Source organism: Homo sapiens, chromosome 11 (genome assembly GCF_000001405.40).
Source record: "Homo sapiens chromosome 11, GRCh38.p14 Primary Assembly".
NCBI lineage: Eukaryota > Metazoa > Chordata > Mammalia > Primates > Hominidae > Homo > Homo sapiens.
This window is the reverse complement of record NC_000011.10, coordinates 11706977-11730505: the sequence shown is the minus strand read 5'-3', so window position 1 is coordinate 11730505 and position 23529 is coordinate 11706977. Positions and strand designations below refer to the sequence as shown.

At 41.9% G+C, this 23529-nt stretch overlaps 1 annotated feature.

Moving 5' to 3' along the window:
* Positions 12524–13723: an enhancer, noted in NCBI's record as "MED14-independent group 3 enhancer chr11:11738330-11739529 (GRCh37/hg19 assembly coordinates)". NCBI's record gives its function as "activates an origin of replication core promoter dependent on BRD2, BRD4, P300/CBP and CDK7 cofactors, and independent of MED14, by STARR-seq in HCT116 cells {active_cell/tissue: HCT116}" and the evidence as "EXISTENCE:reporter gene assay evidence [ECO:0000049][PMID:35650434]".

Here is a 23529-nt window from a genome sequence, read left to right as displayed (position 1 = left end):
GTGAGTCTGCTGCTGCTACTGCTGGTGTGAGCATAGGGCTGTTATGGGTTCTAGCCCCACTGTGGTGGGTGCAGTTGCTGCTGCTGCTGTAGTTATTTCAAAGATGGGGATTTCAATGATGAGTGACAACAGACATTGAAACCCTACAGCTTTAAGTCTAGATTACCTTCTACAAGTGAAATTAGAAAGAATAAAAATGTCATTGAATGAGATCAGCTCTCTATAGAAATGTCCCAAGAGTTAATAAAATGGGCAGTTAGTAAAAGGCAGTCAGTAAAAAGGAGTTTAGGAGTTCCAAGTCTATCAAGTCTCAGTCAAGCTGGAGAATCTCACATCTTTATGTGCATTTACTTGGCTGTAGCTGAAAGCTAACCATGGTCTATGCCTGACGGAGATTTGCCAATAGAGATAGCTGGCCTGCAATAAGCTTGCAAGGTGGATCCTGATGGCCAGATTTGTCAGTGAGTACCCAGCATTGTCCAGAGAAGAGGGCCTGAAAATTAGGCAGAGTATTTTTGACATAGAGAAATCCTCCCGTTGTAGGCAAGGGTGTTTCACGGGGGCTCACAACGGTTGGGTGAAATGTTCTTCAGGACTATACGACTTCCTTTGACGTACTGACTCATTAATTCATTCCATAAATATTTATTGGGCACCAACTGTATGATAGACACTTTGCTAGTCACTGGGAATAGAGCAATGAACAAAATACAGCCCTGTCCTCATTAAGCTTTTAGTTGAGCAGAAAATAGAGTTATACAAGAAAGTCACTAGGAGAGAGAGCATGGTGTGTTACAGGAATTGAGGGAGGGAGAGTGATAGGGGATGAAACTGATGAAGAAGGTGGGTCCTAGGGCCTTTATGGTATGCTAAGGGGTTTGGAACCTATGCTGCAGACAACTGTGTTCACCAGAATGTTTTTGGTTGCAAGTGAAAGAAACTCTGTTTGAATAACTTAAGGTCAAAAGGGAAATTTATTTGTCTGGAATCCAAGGAAGGGATGAACACCACACACTGATAGAAGGCCAGAGATGAGGCTGGGCTCAGGACACTAGGGAATTAGCAGCTTGGACATGATTTAGGACTTTCCCTGCCTCTCGCCACATCTGGCTTCTGTCTCTCTTCCTACACACTTTCTCAAATAGTGGAGAAAACAGACACCTATAGCTTCTGAGTTACCTGCACCACTGGAGGATTCACAGTCCTTTCTCCTGTCCCAGGCTAATCATTCTGGGGAGGAGGCTTATTGGCCCATTTGGGTTAAGTGTCTGCACAGAACCAATCAGCTGTGTCTAGAAGGTGGAGCAAATGAAAGAATTCAGCAACTCCCTGAGGAGCTATATAAATTGCACAGGGTGAGGTAGGGGTACTAGATTAGATATTCCATGGATATCCACTACGGCAGTGCCCACTGAGCAACCACTGGGCTTCTAAATCAGGTTTACAAAGTAATCCGATTCCAGAACATATTCAAATACTAGTCACAGGAACATGCTATAACACTTGAGAATACTTAGGAATTCTGATTTGGCAAGAGTCCGTCCCAAGAAATTAATTAATGGGGATAATATATATAAAGAACTTAGAGCAGTGCTTGGCACATAGTAATACTAAGTGTTAGAAATATGATTATTATTATGATAGTGATGATGATGATGACGATTCAACTCCTTTGGGTATATGGGCTTAATCAGTTCTGGACCCATACAGCTAACAGCCAGGGTTAAGTTGACGCACCAAAATAAGAACAGTCTGAGCCACCAGCCAATACCATCCACATCTCCATCTCATTTCCTTATAGCTTCACTTCCAGTGATAGCAATTTTGATGGATGCCAGGGCTTCCATACTAGGAAGCAATGGCAAGTCTCCCACAGGAACCTCCAGAAGCACATTTTCCTTCTGCCATTCACTGCAAACACATGGCGCATGCTCAAGAAACACCCAATACAGTTAAGTGATAAAATAAAATGGACTAGGGAATTCTTCTTGTTGTCTGTGTGCCCCTATTTGAATAAAGTAGGGTTTTCCAGCAAACTTTTTATTATGAGCAGAATCTCAATGGATCCTCTAATAACAACCCTGACAGGCAAAGCTCCAAACAAGCATTAATTAAGTCTCTTAACATCCTTGTTAATCAGTGAGCCATATGGCAATTATTTTTAAAAAAAAAAAGAATAATTTTGAGGAGCAAGGAATTTAAAAATGATTGTTTATCATAACAGAGAGCTCATTTACATACACTCAGAAATGAATATTTAGAACCATAGGTAAGATAGACATGCTTGGCTAATATCTGATGAGTCATAATCAGCTGTCCTTCAAAAGGACAGTTGATCCAGGGAATACTGGGGACAAGATTTCTTGGAATGCTAGGTTAGCCTTCCCAAGGGCAAAGATGTATGCATTCTCTACTTTGCATCCCCAATTCAGATGCCTTGTCCTTGACCAACACTGTCTAATAGAACTTTCTGTGAAGAGGGGCATATTCTATATCAGCACTATCCAATATGGAAGCCACTAATGGTTCATACGACTGAGGAAATACAATTTTAATTTATTTAATTTTAATTAACTTAAATAGCACATGTGGCTAGCAGTCATCATATTGGACATTGCAATCTTAGACTATGGTTCATCAATTTGAAAACTTATTGTAAATTGGAAGAGGATATACAAGAGCTGTTAATATATTGTTAATCAGGGTGCAGGACTTGCCATAATGAGAATATTATTCATTATCTCAGTTATCACCAGTCTTTCATTCATTCAAACAACATATTGAACATCCACTAAATGGCTCTGTACTGAGCCAAGAGATACAAATGAAGACTAGTCATTGTCCTGGTTTAGAGATGAGTGGGGGAAAGGAGCAGATTAACAGGTAGATGTAAAAGTTTGTGACAAGTGTTGTTTATATTGGGGTAAGTATATGAATAGTGGGAATATGGACATGGGCAACTTATTCAACCCAGGGGTATATGAAGTCAGGTGGGTAGGTGACACATGCTTCCCAAGCAAGGTGGCTCTGCAGTTCATTCTTAAATGGCCAGCAAAGGTTCTCCCAGGTAACGAAGATGGGCATTGCTGCACATAGAGTGACTGGCACAGGTGAGGGCATGATGCTCCCAGACAGCATGGGCCTTTGGGTGAACTTCCAGATGTGTGGGGTGTGTAGTACAGGGTACATGTAGAAAGGCATACTCTCCACATGTACCCTTCCACATGTACCCTGTATTACTTTTCCATGAGCCCTCTTCCCGGGCTCAGCCATGGCCCCAGAAAGAGGGCAGGGATGGTAGAAAGGAGCTTGTTCAAGGAGTTTGGATTTTACCCTGAAGGTAGTGAACACTCATGCAAGGGCTTTATAAAAGTAGGGGAATAACAGGATCAGATCTGTGTTCCAGAAAGGTCCCTTTAATGGCAGTGTGAAGAATGATTTAGGGAGAATAAGAATGGAGATAGAGAGTCCCTCAAGAGGACAAACTTTTTTTCGGTGAGGGTGAGAGACCCTGAAGTCCCATATCAAGTAGTAAAGGTGCTGCTGGCCAGAGGTAAATGGAACTGCTCCTTTCTGAGAAGTGGTTGAATGTTTGGGGTACAGGGTGCTAGAAGTTCTGAAGTTGGTCTCAGGGAGACGAAAGAGTCTGGCACTGTACCAGCCAAGGTGCAACCATCTTTTGGAGAGAGAGATGTATTTGCTCAACTGACCTTTGCTGCTTTCCTTCATGTGCAAGAACTTCTTTCTGGGTTGCCTACCTTGGGCAAATGGCTAGGTTTGAGGCTTGGTACAAGCATTTGGACTTTTTTTTTTTTTTTTTGAGATGGAGTCTTGCTCAGTCACCCAGGCTGGGGTGCAGTGGCGTGATCTCAGCTCACTGCAAGCTCCACCTCCCGGGTTTACGCCATTCTCTTACTTCAGCCTCCCGAGTACCTGGGACTACAGGCGCCCACCACTACGCTCGGCTAATTTTTTGTATTTTTAGTAGAGATGGGGTTTCACTGTGTTAGCCAGGATGGTCTCGCTCTCTTGACCCCGTGATCCACCCACCTCAGTCTCCCAAAGTGCTGGGATTACAGGCGTGAGCCACCACACCCAGCCTGGACTTCTTAAAGGTATATGCAGAGTTTGCCTCCACTTAGTTTCTGGGAGCTTTCATAAAACCTAGACAGGAGCAGAGGCCTTCTGATTCCAGATATTAATACATAGTTAATACCCTAATTCCTGCAGAGTTGGGGCAGGGTCCTAGACCCAGACCCAACCTCCTAGGCTAGGCTTGGAAGAGATTTATTCTTCCCTCATGGATTTGCCTTTCTCATCACACATTTCTCATTCAGAAAGGAAGAGGTCTATATTCTATGAAGGTGCACATCTCATTGGCCAAGAAGATATGAATCCAAAAGAGACTGAGTAGTTAGGAGACATCAGCCTGGGATGTGAGCTGCTTGCACCTACCTGTCATTCTGAAAGTGGTGGCCCCCAAAGGCAGACCAGGGCCAAGAAAGGAAGAAAGATTGGGAATTACTATTAGGATACACTTTCAATTATTCAGCAATAAGATGACAGTCTTGAAAGGTAGTAGGTTCTTTATTGTCTAAGGTATGAAGATAGAGGCTGGGTCACAATTTGGTGAGAATGATGTAGGGGGACAACAGCACTCAATGAGGGATTAGACTGTGACAACAACAGATAGAATAGACCATGGGTCAGGGCATTTAAATCTAACTTCCCTGCCTCACCATCTAAGTAAACAGATGATTACAATACAGTGCTCAGTGGGGGACATCCAGGGTCCATGGGGAGCACACCAGAGGACATGGACCCCACACTTCAGTACAGCTGGGAAGACCAGACAGACAAAATGATGATTCAACAAAACCTGAAAGATGACTGGGATTTAGCCAGGGGAATGGGGTTGGGACTGAGGCATGCAGACCACTCCGCCTGTGATTCTTACAAAGAATTATTTGGCCCCAAACGTCGGCAGTGCTGATGTTCAGAAACCTTGACCTAGAGTCAATTTGGATTTCCCGTCTTGTGAGAGATGGCACGTCTCTTGATACTTTAAGCTATTTGACCGAAGTTTTTTGCTTCCTTATTTTAAATGTGATCTAGATCTATCAAATGTTAGCATTTTTGACAGGGCTTAAGACATAGTAATGTAGAAAAGAAAGCAGGGCCCTTCTTTGTGATACTGAATTCTTTGTAATACTGTAAGTCCTGGAGAGGCAGCCAGGGAAGTGTGGGTGATGTGATGAAACATATCCATGAACAATAAACCGCAGAAACTCTGCCTCTCCCACCTCCTGGTACCTTCTGGGGATGACGCTGCCTGGTCATGAGTCAAGACAAAGCTCCAGCTCACCTGGACACCTTGTGATCCCCCCAGTTCCTCCAGGCTGTCAGGACTCTGAAAGGCATAGGCTGAGCCTGTGCAATTTAAATGGGAAGAGGGTGGAGAATGAGAAACATTTATGGGAGCCATTAAACACCTCTGGGCATTCTGGGGGAAAAAAATGGAATCTTAACCTGGTTTCCACAGCCAAATTCCAAGAATATGCTTGCAAGTTTGGACTCTCTCTCTGGGGTAATATACCCATTTTTCATTGTTGTTCAGTTAAATGTTCGGAGAACTGAAGCTCAGTTTTGTGATTAACCAAGCCTTACTTCATTTATCATAATCTTTTCTATTCAGATTTTATGGTCACATCCAAACCCCTCTTCTTTGCAGTTGTTTAAAGTGTATATGGCTTCAACGTGCTGGGGAGATAGCATGAGGCAAAAAAATGAGCATGGAATTTAAAGGCAGATTATGAATCCCAATGCCCACCTAATCAGCTGTGTGACCGAGGTCACTTATAGAATATATCTGAGTGTGTTTCCTCATTTAAAATTTAGGGAAACATCTGTCTCATAGAAAATGGCAGGTACGATGTCTAACACATAACAGGTGCTCAATGATGTTTATTTCCATCTTTAAATTTTATTGTATATATTTAAGGCATACAACATGATGTTTACATAGGTAGACAGAGATAGAGAATAGATAGACTAGAGATAGTTGCTATAATCAAGCAAATTGACATGTCCCACATAATTACCCATTTTTTGTGATAAAATCACCTAAAATCTAATTTTTTAGAAAAATCCTAAGTACAATACAATATTAACTATCATTCTCATGTTGTATATTAGATCTCAAGACTCATCGTCTACATAACGGCTACTGTGCACCTTTGCCCTACATCTCCCTATTTTCTCCTATTCCCCACTCCCGTTTCCCTTTTCCTAATGCATAGTTCTTCTTTTTTTCTATGCTGTGATGTCTTAGATTTCATGGACATCTATTACACTTGACGAATCTAAATCATATTTAAAATGAGGAAGAAAAACCCGTAGTCACGTAGCTTATAGTATCAGGAGGTGTGCTGTATCTCATGAGAAGGAATTCTACATTGACTCCAGATAGAAGGTAACTTTTGTCAGTTTTCAACACCCATTTCCTTTTAAAGATTTGCGTAGGGATGTAGGAACGGGAGACATGTTTAAACAGTCGCCATTACTGACCAACCCTGAAAATGTTCAGTTATGCAAACTTCTTATTTTGAATAATTTTGATTAAAAAAATCATGTTATAGATACCATTTTTCCACACACAGTTCAGAACCACCTCAATAAAGTGTTGTAGGCTCTTTAAGTTAGAATAACCTTTTTTTTTTTTTTTAAAGTTGGGTTCTCCCTCTGATACCCAGGATGAGTATAGCAGCAAGATCATGGATCACTGCAACCTCAAACTCCTGGGCTCAAGTGATCCTCCTGCCTTAGCCTCCCAACCAGCTGGGACCACAGTCATGCACCACCATATCAGCTGTAGAAATCTTTTTTTTTTTTTTTTTTTGAGACAGAGTCTCGCTCTGTCAGCCAGGCTGGAGTGCAGTGGCATGATCTCGAGAGGCTCACTGCAAGCTCCGCCTCCCAGGTTCATGCCATTCTCCTGCCTCAGCTTCCCGAGTAGCTGGGACTGCAGGTGCCTGCCACCACACCCGGCTAATTTTTTGTATTTTTAGTAGAGAGGGGTTTCATCGTGTTAGCCAGGATGCCCTCGGTCTCCTGACCTCGTGATACACCCGCCTTGGCCTCCCAAAGTGCTGGGATTACAGGCGTGAGCCACCGCGCCTGGCCAGAAATCTTAAGAATCATCTGTAATAAATATATCTGACAGTGCCACGGGCCTTGATCAGGGATGGTAGTTGTCCCTGTAAACTAGTCTGGATAAAGGAACTCATTGAGTAGAAGTAGCTTGCTTAAGGTGTGGCAACAGAGTTAGTGACAGGAACATTGTATTGGTCTGCTCAAGGCTCCCCTCCACATGGAACTTCGGGGTCACCTGCCTCTCTCTTGACCAATTGGCAGCAGCAGGGTATACAGGGAATTTGGCTTCTCTGGCTCCTGACCTTTCCCCTGTGCCCTCTGGTGGCGACCTAGGTTCACCTGCCCCAGTGCAGCTAGAGTGATAGATTGAGTTGACCATATATCTACCACGTGACCATATCTATCTCTTTAGTGGAAAAGGGTCTGGCAGAGATGGAAAGTGTGAGCAGAGGACTATCCTGGTGGGGCTCAAACATGACAGGGGCTGGGTCAGGCGAGGCAACACAGCAAGGGAGGGAACTATAGATGGTCTCTTGAAACAGGCTCAGCTGGAAGGTAATTGAAGGTCCGTACAGTACAGCAGCCACTGAGACTTGTCACTCAAAGCACTGCGGTTACCTTGACAAAGCATAGCTGATTGGAAATTAAAATGCATGGAATTGTGTAGGGAGTGTTTTCAAGAAGAAACAGAATCAACTTAGTGGCACCATTGAGGCTCTTACAGCTGAACACCAGATGCAAGGATTTTTTTAAAAGAAAATCGCAAGCCTCTCTTCTTTCTAGAAGCAGGGGTTTAGTGCTTAGTTAGTTAGAATACAGCTATTTCAGGAGACATTGCCAAAGCCTGAGAAAGGAGGTGTCAGAGAGCCATGTTATAACTGATATAAACCTAGCCCTGGGGCTAGTTTGGACAAACAGCCCATTGATTCTCTCTGGATCTGTTTGTCTGATCCAATGGAATATGGAGAGGGTGCTCTTTAAGTCATCCTGCAGTTTTAAATCAAGTATCTACTGTGCTGTGCTGGGGGGCCCATGGGACCTGCCGGTCTACGGAGCCCCTGCTTATTTTCTAACCCTGCTGTATCAGGCTAGATCAGTAATTCCCAACCATGTGGGCAGGCATGACACCTGAACCTCCTGCTCCCTGGACCCCTTATCTTCTGGGCAGGAGGCTCAGTCAATTCCTTTTTCTTAAGCTCAGATTCCTGCCATTAAAAAAAGTATAAGTAGGCTGGGTGGGTGGCTCACGCCCATAATCCCAGCATTTTGGGAGGCTGAGGTGGGGGATCACTTGAGCCCAGGAGTTTGACACCAGCCTGGGCAAAATGGTGAGACCCTGTCTCTACAAAAAAATACAAAAATTAGCTGGGTACAGTGGCACATGCCTGTAGTCTCAGCTATTTGGAAAGCTGAGGTGGGAGGTTGAGACCAGGAGATCAAGGCTACGGTGAGATGTGATTTAGCCACTGCACTCCAGGCTAGGTGACAGAGTAAGACTCTGTCTCAAAAAATATATATATATGTATAGAAATACAGTTTCATCTAATGCACTATTGATCAGTATGCATTTTGTATGTGTGTCATGATTAATATATCTGCTATGGCTTGAATGTCCCCTTCAAAATATATTGAAATTTAATTGCCATTGTGACCGTATTAAAAGGTGGGACCTTTAAAAGGTGATTAGGTCATGAGGGGTCTGCCCTCATAAATGGATTAATGCTGTTATCACAGGAGTGGGTTACTTGTCTCAGAAGTGTGCCCCGATAAAAGGATGAGTTTGGCCCAATTTCCTCTCTCTGTCTCATGTGCACATTTTCTTGCCATGTGATGACCTTCCACCATGTTATGAGGCAGCAAGAAGTTCCTCACCAGATGGCTGAGCAGATGCTGTTGCTATGCCTTTGAACTTCTCAGCCTCCAGAACCATGAACCAAATAAATCACCTTTCTTTATAAATTCCCTGATCTGTGATATTCTGTCAAAGCAGCAGAAAATGGAAGAGGACAATATCTAATTTCCTCCATTAGATGTTTAAGGTAGGCCAGGCACAGTGGCTCATGGCTGTAATCCCCACAGTTTGGGAGGCTGAGGCAGGCAGATCACCTGAGATCAGTAGTTCAAGACCAGCCTGGCTAACATGGCAAAACCCCATCTCTACTAAAAATACAACAATTAGCTGGGCGTGGTGACAGGCACCTGTAGTCTCAGCTACTCAGGAGGCTGAGGCAGAAGAATCACTTGAACCCGGGAGGTGGAGGTTGCAGTCAGCTAAGAACGCACCACTGCACTCCAGCCTGGGCAACAGAGTAAGACTCCATCTCAAAAAAAAAAAAGTATATTTAAAGTATGTGTTTGTATATATGTGGTGTGTATGTATATACATACATACATACACACACATGCATGCATGGTAAACAGAACAATGGCCCCCAAAGATGTGCACATCCTAATCCCTGGAATCTGTGACTATGTCACCCTACATGGAAAAAGGAAATTTGCAAATGTGATTAATTTAAGGATCCTGAGACAGAGAGATTATCCTGGAGTATCTGGGTAGGCCCAACATAATACAAGGCCCTTACAAGAGAGAAATGGGAGCAGACTGAGTCAGAAAAAGAAAAAATAGTGACTGAACTAGATGTTGGAAACTGTGCTTTGAAGATAGAGGAAGGGACCAGGAGCCAAGGAATGCAAGCAGCTTCTAGAAGCTGGAAAGAGCAAGGAAATGAATGCTGTCTTAAAGCCTCCAGAAGGGATGCAGCCCTGACAACACTTTGGCTTTAGATTCCTTTAGAGCTCCATAACTGTGGAAAATAAAGTTTTATTGTTTCAAGCCCTAAATTTGTGGCAATTTATTATAGCAGCTATAGGAAACTAATGCTACATATACATACACACATATGTAATATATATTCTAAGTTATAAAATTCAAAGATTTTGAAACTTACATATATTTGAACATGTTACATAAAGTGAAATAGCAAGAACTTACACTTAGAGTAGTGATAATGATGTAAGACTGTGGTTTCTGGAGCCAGCTCTGCCCCTTTCAGGTATGGTGACCTTGGCAAGTCACTTAATCTCTCTGTATCTCAGTTTCCTCATTTCTAAAATAGGGATATGATCTTACCTCATAGGGCTGAAGTGAGGATGAAATGAGGTAATATATCTAAAATACTTATAAGAGTGCCTGGCACTTAGTAAGTACCATATTATATATCCCAATTTTTCAGAGGAGAAAACGGAGGTTGACTTTCCCATGGCTATGCAGCTCTGAAGTGACACAGGGGGCATTGGAACCTAGCTGGTTCAGCTCCAGCAGGGCTCCCATACCATACTTCCTCATAATACAAAGGCAAAGTCTCCTTTCCTAGCCCTCAATTCCAATCCATGACCAAGCAATCCTATTAACTATTTGGTATTTACCCTTCCAGACACAAGTATACATGTGCATGTGCTCACACATACATGTGTGTGTAAAAAACATATAATAATTTTAAAAATAAAATAAATATAATTATGTCATTTTGAAGCTTACATAATATATCAGAAACACATTTTTTGTTAAATTTACTTTAGTTATATAGATGAATTTTTTTTAAAAGTTAGAATATTGTAGGTAAAGCTAAAGTCCCCTTTGACCACCACCTTTAATCCTGGTCTTCCCTATGCTTTGAGATAACTACTCTTTGAATATAGCGCATATCCTTCCAGACCTTACTTTGCACACATGCACCCATAATAAATGGATAGCATTGTTTATTTTTTATGTCTATGTTCTTACATACATTGTATCATACTATAAGAATTGTTCTAAAACTTGGCATTGTATTTCTGAGATCTAACTACACTTATGAACAGAGATTTGGTTTAGTCCTCTTAGTCACTGAATTGCATTCTGCCACATTATATTTTTCCATTCCATTATTGATGTCCCTTTAGGTCATTTTCAATTTCTTGCTATTTGAATGCTTCAGATAGCTTTCTTATCCAGTCTTCTTGGATGCATGTGAAAGTGGTTCCCTGGGTACGGATCTAGACTAGGAAATGCTGGGTCACAGGATAAGCACATTTGCAGGTTTAATAGATTCTGCCAAAGAACCTTCTGAAGTGATTGTCTTCATTTATATTTCTTCCAACAGTGTATAAGTGTATTTTTTCCTCTACAGTATCCTCAACACTTGATTCTGTCAGTGTTTTGGTTTTTGCAGATATGATGAATGAAAATAGGATCTTTTTGTTTTAGTTTGCTTTTGGAAAGTTTATCAATTAGACAGATGAGCAACTTTTCAAACTGCTTATGTGAATTTCCTCTTTTATGAGTGGCTTGTTCATATTCCTTCCCCAATTTTTACCACATTGTTTGTCTTTTTCTTATGATTTGTAGAAGTGCTTGTGGATATCTTTCTGTCTAGATACTATAGGTGTACTTGATTTTTAAAAAAATGGTTGCATCGTATTCAGCCATATATGTGAAACCCTGAGGTCAGATCTGGTCCTCCATCTGTTTCTGTAAAAAAAAAAAAATTTTTTTGAGATGCAGTCATATGCATTTTTTTGTATGTTGTATGTGGCTGATTTAGTGCTACAACAGCAGAGCTGAGTAGCTACGACATAGACCATATGGCCCACAAAGCCTTAAAATATTTACTCTCTGGCTCTTTAGAGAAAAAGTTTGCCCTGATATGGATAAATCATAATTTCTTTAGCCATTCTTCTTTTGATGAATATGTAAGTTGTTTTCCGTTATCCAATATTATGAACAATTCTGTAATTAATATTATTGTACACACTTATAACTTTGTCTGTAGAAGTGAATGTTTCTGTAGGCTGGATTCCTGAAAGTGGACTTGCTGGCTTATCAGATTTCTGTATTTAGCGGAACTTGCTCATCAGTAATATTTGAATTGGAGGATATTTTTAAGAAGTGAGGTTATTTCCTAGGAATAGTGATAGCTTTCTATTATTTAGCACCTGCTAGGTACCAGACACTGTACTAGGTGTCTTATATACATTCCCTCATTTAATCTTTCCAATAAGCCAGAAATTGGTGTTAATAACAGCTTTTTATATAAGGAATTTGAGGTTCAGTGAAGTTAAATGGCTTGTCCAAAACAACAGAGCTGGTGCACAGGAGAGCCAGGATTTGAACCCATTTCTCTGACTTCGAAGCTCCTATATTTTCTACTACACAATGTTGTCTCTCAGTGAAAAACTAGGTGATGCAAACAATTGGCATTACATAGCTTTGTGAGTAGCAATTATGCATATTTGTCTCTGTTAAGTGAACAGGTAACAACATTCGTAATTAATGCAGTAAGTTTCTGTAGACAGATGGGTTAGATTAAAGTAATTTTATAGACTCTTTAAAACTGTTGGCTTTCTTAAGCTAAACATTTCTTTTGCAATCTTATTTATGTTTCTATAAATAAATGCACAGCTGTGATGTAGTAGAAAGAATACTGGATTTAGAAATCCAAATTTGGGAAAAAAAACCCAACATGGTTTCTGCCTTCTTGGAAGGTTGCTGTGTGACTGTGGGCAAGTTTCCTACCTTCTCTATGCTCTAGTTTGTTCACAAGAGTTGTGAGAAATCAGTGTGAATGACCATGAGGTACTTGACCCAGTGCCTGGTATGTAGTAAAGGTGCAATCCGTGATGGTCCTTGTTCCTGAGGATATTTCCAGAAAGAGTGTTCAATCTGATAAACGCTGGGTACATTTCAGTGAGCTTGCCTCATGGCTCAAGCTCTGCCTTGCTCTGAAGCCACACCTAATGCCACTCCCTTGGCCTGATAGTAACCAACAGATGCCAGAACCATCCATTGCCAAGAATGTACGTAATGCCTGTGGTATACAGAAATGAGAGGACAGGTTATGACATGTCTTGGCATTTAAATTTTGGTGTACTGGGGCAGTTCCAAGATGGCTGAATAGGAACAGCTCCAGTCTATAGCTCCCAGCGTGAGTGACGCAGAAGACGGATGATTTCTGCATTTCTAATTGAGGTACTGGGTTCATCTCACTGGGGCGTGCCGGACAGTGGGTGCAGGACAGTGGGTGCAGTGCATCAAGCATGAGCCGAAGCAGGGTGAGGCATTGCCTCACCCGGGAATCGCAAGGGGTCAGGGAATTCCCTTTCCTAGCCAAAGAAAGGGGTGACAGATGGCACCTGAAAATTGGGTCACTCCCACCCTAATACGAGCTTTTCCGATGGTCTTAGCAAATGGCACACCAGGAGATTATATCCCGTGCAAGGCTTGGAGGGTCCTACGCCCATGGAGCCTCGCTCATTGCTAGCACAGCAGTTTGAGATCAAACTGCAAGGCGGCAGCAAGGCTGGGGGAGGGGCGCCCACCATTGCTGAGGCTTGAGCAGGTAAACGAAGCGGCCGGGAAGCTCGAACTGGGTGGAGCCCACCCACTATAGCTCAAGGAGACCTGCCTGCCTCTATAGACTCCACCTTTGGGGGCAGGGCATAGCCAAACAAAGGGCAGCAGAAACCTCTGCAGACTTAAATGTCCTTGTCTGACAGCTTGGAAGACAGTAGTGGTTCTCCCAGCATGCAGCTTGAGATCTGAGAATGGACAGACTGCCTCCTCAAGTGGGTCCTGGACCACCGAGTAGCCTAACTGGGAGGCACCCCAAAGTAGGGGCAGACTGACACCTCACACAGCTGGGTACCCCTCTGAGACAAAACTTCCAGAGGAACGATCAGGCAGCAACATTTGCTGTTCACCAATATTCGCTGTTTTGCAGCCTCCGCTGCTGATACCCAGGCAAACAGGGTCTGGAGTGGACCTCCGGCAAACTCCAACAGACCTGCAGCTGAGGGTCCTGACTGTTAGAAGGAAAACTAACAAACAGAAAGGACATCCACACCAAAACCCCATCTGTACCTCACCATCATCAAAGATCAAAAGTAGATAAAACCACAAAGATGGGGTAAAAACAGAGCAGAAAAACTGAAAATTCTAAAAATCAGAGCACCTCTCCTCCTCCAAAGGAACGCAGCTCCTCACCAGCAATGGAACAAAGCTGGACAGAGAATGACTTTGACGAGTTGAGAGAAGAAGGCTTCAGATGATCAAACTTCTCCAAGCTAAAGGAGGAAGTTTGAACCCATGGTAAATAAGTTAAAAACCTTGAAAAAAGATTAGACGAATGGCTAACTAGAATAACTAGTGTAGAGAAGTCCTTAAAGGACCTGATGGAACTGAAAACCATGGCAGGAGAACTACATGACAAATGCACAAGCTTCAGTAGCCGATGTGATCATCTGGAAGAAAGGGTATCAGTGATGGAAAATCAAATGAATGAAGTGAAGTGAGAAGAGAAGTTTAGAGAAAAAAGAATAAAAAGAAACGAACAAAGCCTGCAAGAAGTATGGGACTATGTGAAAAGACCAAATCTATGTCTGATTGGTGTACCTGAAAGTGACGGGGAGAATGGAACCAAGTTGGAAAACACTCTGCAGGATATTATTAAGGAGAACTTCCCCAATCTAGCAAGACAGGCCAACATTCAAATTCAGGAAATACGAAGAACGCCACAAAGATACTCCTCAAGAAGAGCAGCTCCAAGACACACAATTGTCAGATTCACCAAAGTTGAAATGAAGGAAAAAATGTTAAGGGCAGCCAGAGAGAAAGGTCAGGTTATCCACAAAAGGAAGCCCATCAGACAAACAGCTGATCTCTCCGCAGAAACTCTACAAGCCAGAAGAGAGTGGGGGCCAATATTCAACATTCTTAAAGAAAAGAATTTTCAACCCAGAATTTCATATCCAGCCAAACTAACCTTCATAAGTGAAGGAGAAATAAAATACTTTACAGACAAGCAAATACGGAGAGACTGTGTCACCACCAGGTCTGCCCTACAAGAGCTCCTGAAGGAAGCACTAAACATGGAAAGGAACAACTGGTACCAGCCACTGCAAAAACATTCCAAATTGTAAAGACCATCGAGGCTAGGAAGAAACTGCATCAACTAATGAGCAAAATAACCAGCTAACATCATAATGACAGGATCAAACTGACACATAACAATATTAAACTTAAATGTAAATGGGCTAAATTCCCCAATTAAAAGACACAGACTGGCAAATTGGATAAAGAGTCAAGACCCATCAGTGTGCTGTATTCAGGAAACCCATCTCACATGCAGAGACACACATAGGCTCAAAATAAAGGGATGGAGGAAGATCTACCAAGCAAATGGAAAACAAAAAAAGGCAGGGGTTGCAATCCTAGTCTCTGATAAAACTGACTTTAAGACAAAAAAGATCAAAAGAGACAAGGCCATTACATAATGATAAAGAGATCAATTCAACAATAAGAGCTAACTATCCTAAATATATATGCACCCAATACAGGAGCACCCAGATTCATAAAGCAAGTCCTTAGAGACATACAAAGAGACTTAGACTCCCACACAATAATAATGGGAGACTTTAACACCCCACTGTCAACATTAGACAGATCAATGAGACAGAAAGTTAACAAGGATATCGAGGAATTGAACTCAGCTCTGCACCAAGTGGACTTAATAGACATCTACAGAACTCTCCACCCCAAATCAACAGAATATACATTCTTCTCAGCACCACACTGCACTTATTCCAAAATTGACCACATAGTTGGAAGTAAAGCACTCCTCAGTAAATGTAAAAGAACAGAAATTATAACAAACTGTCTCTCAGACCACAGTGCAATCAAACTAGAACTCAGGATTAAGAAACTCACTCAAAACCGATCAACTACATGGAAACTGAACAACCTGCTCCTGAATGACTACTGGGTACATAACGAAATGAAGGCAGAAATAAAGATGTTCTTTGAAACCAACGAGAACAAAGACACAACATACCAGAATCTCTGGGACATATTTAAAGCAGTGTGTAGAGGGAAATTTATAGCACTAAATGCCTACAAGAGAAAGCAGGAAAGATCTAAAATTGACACCCTAACATCACAATTAAAAGAACTAGAGAAGTGAGAGCAAACACATTCAAAAGCTGGCAGAAGGCAAGAAATAACTAAGATCAGAGCAGAATTGAAGGAGATAGAGACACAAAAAACCCTTCAAAAAATCAATGAATCCAGGAGCTGGTTTTTTGAAAAGATCAACAAAATAGATAGACCACTAGCAAGACTAATAAAGAAGAAAAGAGGGAAGAATCAAATAGATGCAATAAAAAATGATAAAGGGGATATCACCACCAATCCCACAGAAATACAAACTACCATCAGAGAATACTATAAACACCTCTACGCAAATAAACTAGAAAATCTAGAAGAAATGGATAAATTCCTGGTCACATACACCCTCCCAAGACTAAACCAGGAAGAAGTTGGATCTCTGAATAGACCAATAACAGGCTTTGAAATTGAGGCAATAATTAATAGCTTACCAACCAAAAAAAGTGCAGGACCAGATGGATTCACAGCCGAGTTCTACTACAGGTACAAGGAGGAGCTGGTACCATTCCTTCTGAAAGTATTCCAATCAATAGAAAAATGGGGAATCCTCCCTAACTCATTTTATGAGGCCAACATCATCCTGATACCAAAGCTTGGCAGAGACACAACAAAAAAAGAGAATTTTAGACCAATATCCCTGATGAACATCAATGCAAAAATGCTCAATAAAATACTGGCAAACTGAATCCAGCAACACATCAAAAAGCTTATCCATGATGATCAAGTGGGCTTTATCCCTGGGATGCAAGGCTGGTTCAACATACACAAATAAATAAACGTAATCCAGCATGTAAGCAGAACCAGCAACAAAAACCACATGATTATCTCAATAGATGCAGAAAAGGCCTTTGACAAAATTCAACAGCACTTCATGCTAAAAACTCTCAATAAATTAGGTATTGATGGGACATATCTCAAAATAATAAGAGCTGCCTATGACAAACCCACAGCCAATATCATACCGAATGGGCAAAAACTGGAAGCGTTCCCTTTGAAAACTGGCACAAGACAGGGACGCCCTCTCTCACCACTCCTATTCAACATAGTGTTGGAAGTTCTGGCCAGGGCAATCAGGCAGGAGAAGGAAATAAAGGGTATTCAATTAGGAAAAGAGGAAGTCAAATTGTCCCTGTTTGCAGATGACATGATTGTATATCTAGAAAACCCCATCGTCTCAGCCCAAAATCCCCTTAAGCTGATAAGCAACTTCAGCAAAGTCTCAGGATACAAAATCAATGTGCAAAAATCACAAGCATTCTTATACACCAATAACAGACAAACAGAGAGCCAAATCATGAGTGAACTCCCATTCACAATTACTTCAAAGAGAATAAAATACCTTGGAATCCAACTTACAAGGGATGTGAAGGACCTCTTCAAGGAGAACTACAAACCACTGCTCAATGAAATAAAAGAGGATACAAACAAATGGAAGAACATTCCATGCTCATGGATAGGAAGAATCAATATTGTGAAAATGGCCATACTGCCAGAGGTAATTTGTAGATTCGATGCCATCCCCATCAAGCTACCAATGACTTTCTTCACAGAATTGGAAAAAACTACTTTAAAGTTCATATGGAACCAAAAAGGAGCCCGCGTTGCCAAGTCAATCCTAAGCCAAAAGAACAAAGCTGGAGGCATCACGCTACCTGACTTCAAACTATACTACAAGTCTACAGTAACCAAAACAGCATGGTACTGGTACCAAAACAGAGATATAGACCAATGGAACACAACAGAGCCCTCAGAAATAATGCCACACATCTACAACTATCTGATCTTTGACAAACCTGAAAAAAAGAAGCAATGGGGAAAGGATTCCCTATTTAATAAATGGTGCTGGGAAAACTGGCTAGCCATATGTAGAAAGCTGAAACTGGATCCCTTCCTTACACCTTATACAAAAATTAATTCAAGATGGATTAAAGACTTAAATGTTAGACCTAAAACCATAAAAACCCTAGAAGAAAACCTAGGCAATACCATTCAGGACATAGGCATGGGCAATGACTTCATGACTAAAACACCAAAAGCAATGGCAACAAAAGCCAAAATTGACAAATGGGATCTAATTAAACTCAAGAGCTTCTGCACAGCAAAAGAAACTACCATCAGAGTAAACAGGCAACCTACAAAATGGGAGAAAATTTTTGCAACCTATTCATCTGACAAAGGGCTAATATCCAGAATCTACAATGAACTCAAACAAATTTACAAAAAAAAAACAAACAACCCCATCAACAAGTGGGCGAAGGATATGAACAGACACTTCTCAAAAGAAGACATTTATGCAGCCAAAAAACACATGAAAAAATGCTCATCATCACTGGCCATCAGAGAAATGCAAATCAAAACCACAATGAGATACCATCTCACACCAGTTAGAATGGGAATCATTAAAAAGTCAGGAAACAACAGGTGTTGGAGAGGATGTGGAGAAATAGGAACACTTTTACACTGTTGGTGGGACTGTAAACTAGTTCAACCATTGTGGAAATCAGTGTGGCGATTCCTCAGGGATCTAGAACTAGAAATACCATTTGACCCAGCCATCTCATTACTGGGTGTATACCCAAAGGATTATAAATCATGCTGCTATAAAGACAAATGCACACGTATGTTTCCTGCAGCGCTATTCACAATAGCAAAGACTTGGAACCAACCCAAATGTCCAACAATGATAGACTGGATTAAGAAAATGTGACACATATACACCATGGAATACTATGCAGCCATAAAAAATGATGAGTTCCTGTCCTTTGTAGGGACATGGATGAAGCTGGAAACCATCCATCATTCTCAGCAAACTATCGCAAATACAAAAAACCAAATACCATATGTTCTCACTCATAGGTGGGAATTGAACAATGAGAACACTTGGACACAGGAAGGGGAACATCACACACTGGGGCCTGTTGTGGGGTGGGGGAAAGGGGGAGGGATATCATTAGGAGATATACCTACTGTAAATGACGAGTTAATGGGTGCAGTACACCAACATGGCAGATGTATACGAACCTGCATGTTGTGCACATGTATCCTAAAACTTAAAGTATAATAAAAATAAATAAATAAAATAAATAAATAAATAAATAAATAAATATTGCTGTACTGCGTCCGTGCTCTTTTGCATGCTGAGAACCTCAATAATAACAGCTAACAGTTATTGAACACTTACTCCATGCCAGAGACTGTGACAAATTATCTCATTTAATTCTCACCATAATGCTGCTTGATCAGTAATCCTTCTATTCCTATGCGGCATAGAATAGATGAATAAATGAAAACCTTGGGAGGTTGAAAAGAAGCATGTAGTCAGTAGGTAGAAAACCTAGGATTTGAGTCCATACCTTTTTAAACACTTAAACCTGAACATTAAGTGGTTACTGTGTTATGCTTTCTCCTTCTGTTGGGAAGCTTTCAATAGGAGGATTCCTTGCTAGGACTAGTTATGTGCTTATTTCCAGCTTCAGGCTTCAGGGTGGGAGGATCTGCCCTCTTGGGCACACAGTGCATTAGGCTTGGGCTGCGGTACACACTAAATGGTAATCTCTTAACATCTAGAGGGGAGCATTGCCTTTCTTGGCCATCTGGTGCCACGATTCAACACGTCTGCCTTAGACATGCTGATTTTGCCTGAAATCTCAGGGAAACCTCCCAAACATTAAAAAGCAAGAGCTGATGGCTGACCATTTTGCTTTTATCACTGCCTTTCTCCTGTCAACGAAGAAGCCCCTTTCACCCTGAATTGCTGCCTTGCATCCATGTCAGAACCAGATAAATTTGTCTGTGCCATTCTGGTTTTTTGTTTTTTTGTTGTTGTTGTTTTTTTTAGTTTTAGCTGCCTCCCGGACCATCTTGTTTGCAATATAAGCTCTAAATGGCCTGGAACTCGTCTTTTATGGCCTCTGCCAGATTAAACATTTAGAACATAATACACCCAGCTTCAAAAACAATTGTGCAGTCTTCCAGCGAAGCAGCATATTGATTTTAATTTAGGCAATTACACAGATTTGCAGGTCTTCGGAGGCACTCTGGGGCTTCAGACTGCCAGTGGCTCACGGTCCTTCTCCTCCTCAGTCCCAGCTCTCTACCTGGGATTGGAGAAACCTAGAGATCATGGGTGATAAGCGTGGGCCTCCTTCAACACACCGTATTTTCTCTTTTGGAATTGAGAAGATCACAGTGTCAGTTCTAAAACTGCTATGAAATATAAAGGCAGCAAGGTAATGTATGAATAGTGTGGGCTGAACTGCATTCAGATCCGTGCCTTACTGCTGAATGACACATGACCTTGGGCAAATCATTTCACTCTTTGGACCTCAGGCTTCTCACTAGTAAATGGGGGCAATGAGGAAATTTAACTCACAAGGCAGATAGATGTTAAGATTATTCAAGTGCTAGAAGATCCTCAATAAAAATTTAGTGCAAAAAGTGGACTAGTCTGCCAAGATATATAATGGTTTTTTGGTGAATGATTAACCAGGGCAGAATATTTTAATGCCCAAGAAGGGTTTCTTTCAAGCCCAAGGGGGCAACCGCTCAACAGCCACTGCGTGGAGACAATGGGGCCTGCTGCATTTTGAGTTTTGGTAGAAAGAGTGACTGATGGTGTATAGCTTATCTATTAGCCAGTTCCAGAGACTCAGACATTAGCACCAGATCCCAGTGCAGCTTCTGCTTGCTCATTGAACAAACACTTGCAGAGTTCTCACCCACGGCAGACTGTGCTAGGTGCTGCTACATCTGTCAATGAGTCAATTTGCCTTCAAGGAACTCACCATTCAGGGCAGAAGACACACACACATAAACGTAATTTTAATGCAGCACTCTGGTGACTGTTCCCAAAGAAATATCTTCCAAGGCTGGGGAAGGCTGTTCTAGGTCTCTTATTTTCCACTGTCCCAGGGAGGAATCACAGTGGCACAGCTATTAGGAACTGAAACTTAAATACAGTGGTTTAAACACATTATCAATTGCACGCCTGTAATCCCTGGAGGCTGAGGCAGCAGAATTGCTTGAACCCAGGAGGCAGAGGTTGCAGTGAACCGAGACCATGCCACTACACTCCAGCCTAAGAAACAGAGCAAGACTACGTCTCAAAAAAAAGAAAAAAAAAAAAAAGAAGCCTAGAGGTCAGCAATCTATGGCTGAGAAGCTGAAGCTGTCACATCGACATGCCAACAGGAACGAAAGGTGTTCACTCTCAGCTGAATCAGACCTCTTTAAAGTGTTTTCCTAGAATCCCTGACCACTTACCTCTTGTGGAGACCCCTCATGTCTGTTAGCTGGGCACTTTTCTGCCTTCTACAAAATAGGAAGGGAGGGTGGTTATTGGATAGACAACTAGGAGTCATTGCAACATCCACTCAATAGAACTTAAGCTTTTTCTACCACTTTGAGATTGCTGACATCTCTTTAAAAATAAATGGATGAGGGAGATGTTAGGCTGAGTGAATAATGAAGTTCTGTGGTCCAAGGTGGGATGCCATGCACATTCAATGACATGCTTAATGTTGATTTGTGTTCCTGGTGGGACGAGCGGGGACTAAACGGGTGAAGGATGAAGATGAAGTGGAACAGCGGCACTGACTTGGAGGCTGACGTAGAAGGGAGTGGCTTCCTTAGGGCAGGGTTTGGGCAGGGAGCCAGTGGACCCCTGCATTTCCTACATTCAGAAAAGCTGGTTTTCCTGTCTTTAACTGAGGTGGGGAAAGCTATAAAGAACACCAGGAAGCAGTTGGTATTCTGGGGCTGTTATTTTGGCTAAGATGTCCTGACCTGAATCTATAGCAGCAGTGAAAGGAGTTTTGCTTCTTCAGTAACATGCCTGAGAGGGTTCTATCTGCTAGAATTAGTTGCAGCTCTCAAAAGTGAGCCTGGAAGTCATGCTTTTGGCCTCTTGCATTCTTAAGTTGACCTGTCATGATGGTATGAAGCAATTGTGTCTTTCAGATCAAAATAACTTTACATCTTAAAAAAGCTTCTAACCCTGGTTGCAGAGAAATTAAATTAGAATAACAAATAGAGTTCGATAAGTGGAAATTTAACTCTGTCCATCTGTAGAGAAATAGCTGAATGCCAGCTAAAAATGAATGTTGCAGTACCTTGGAGAGTTTGATAAATGGTAGATACTAATAACCCATGTTGTGGAGAGGTGCTTAGAAGTATGGGGAGAGATAGGCAATGGGGCCTATTGCAGCACTCATTCTTCCCCTTCTACCCCATAATGCTCACACAAAACTGTTGACCACACTGCCATCATGGAAGCCCACCTGTCCAATAGCCTGTCCTGCATCCCCACCGGGGGCCTCACAGACACCCCAAACTCAGCATGTTCAAAACTCACTTTATCATTCCCCCTCCCAGGCTGTTTTCCATCCAGATTAGACTCTGGGTGGCATTTTTGACTTCACGATCCCAATTCTAACTAAGCACCAAGTCCCACTAATTCAAATGCCAGAATTTTTCTCAAGTCCGTTTTTTCCTTTCCACCTTCACTCCAGTGACCCTGGTTCAGATTTTTCTTTCTCTTGTTCTACTACTGGTCTTCCAGTGGATACTCCTGCCCTCTCAAATCTTTCACCTCAATTCCTTCTTTATATGCATGTGATGGGAACAATCTCTGATATAAGATTCTTCAGTGGTTCCCTGATAACATCCAATCTTTTAAAATATGGCTTCCTCCAGTAATCCATCATAAAAAGTAGTGGAACGTGGTGGTTAAAACCGTACCCTCTGCTGGGCGCGGTGGCTACCTGTAATCCCAGCACTTTGGGAGGCTGAGGTGGGCGGATCACCTGAGGTCAGGAGTTCAAGACCAGCCTGGCCAACAATATGAGGAAACCCCATCTCTACTGAAAGTATAAAAATTAGCTGGGCATGGTGGTGCATGACTATAGTCCCAGCTACTCAGGAAGCTGAGGCAGGAGAATTGCTTGAACCAGGGAGGCGGAGGTTGCAGTGAGCTGAGATTGCGCCACTGCACTCCAGCCTGGGTAACAGAGTGAGACTCCATCTCAAAAAAAAAAAAAAAAAAGAAGAAGAAGAAGTAAAAAAGAGTGTGTACTCTCTGGAGCCATGCTGCCTTTGTATGAATCCTAGCTGTGCCATTTGCTGTCTAATTTTGGGCCGTCACTCTCCCTATGACTTGGCTGTCTCATCTGTAAAATGGGGCTGATCATCTGATCCCCTTAGGTTGCTATGAGAACTAAGTGAATGAATATATGTATAAGTGAATGAATGAAGACACTTAGAACAGTGCCAGCCACAGAGTAAACCCTGTATAAGCATTGGCTGTGCTGGCCCTTTCCCCTACACTATGCTTCACAACAGCTTGTGTTTTTTCTCTCAATGCAGTTTCCTTCTGCAGTCAGGCCATCCCTCCTGTT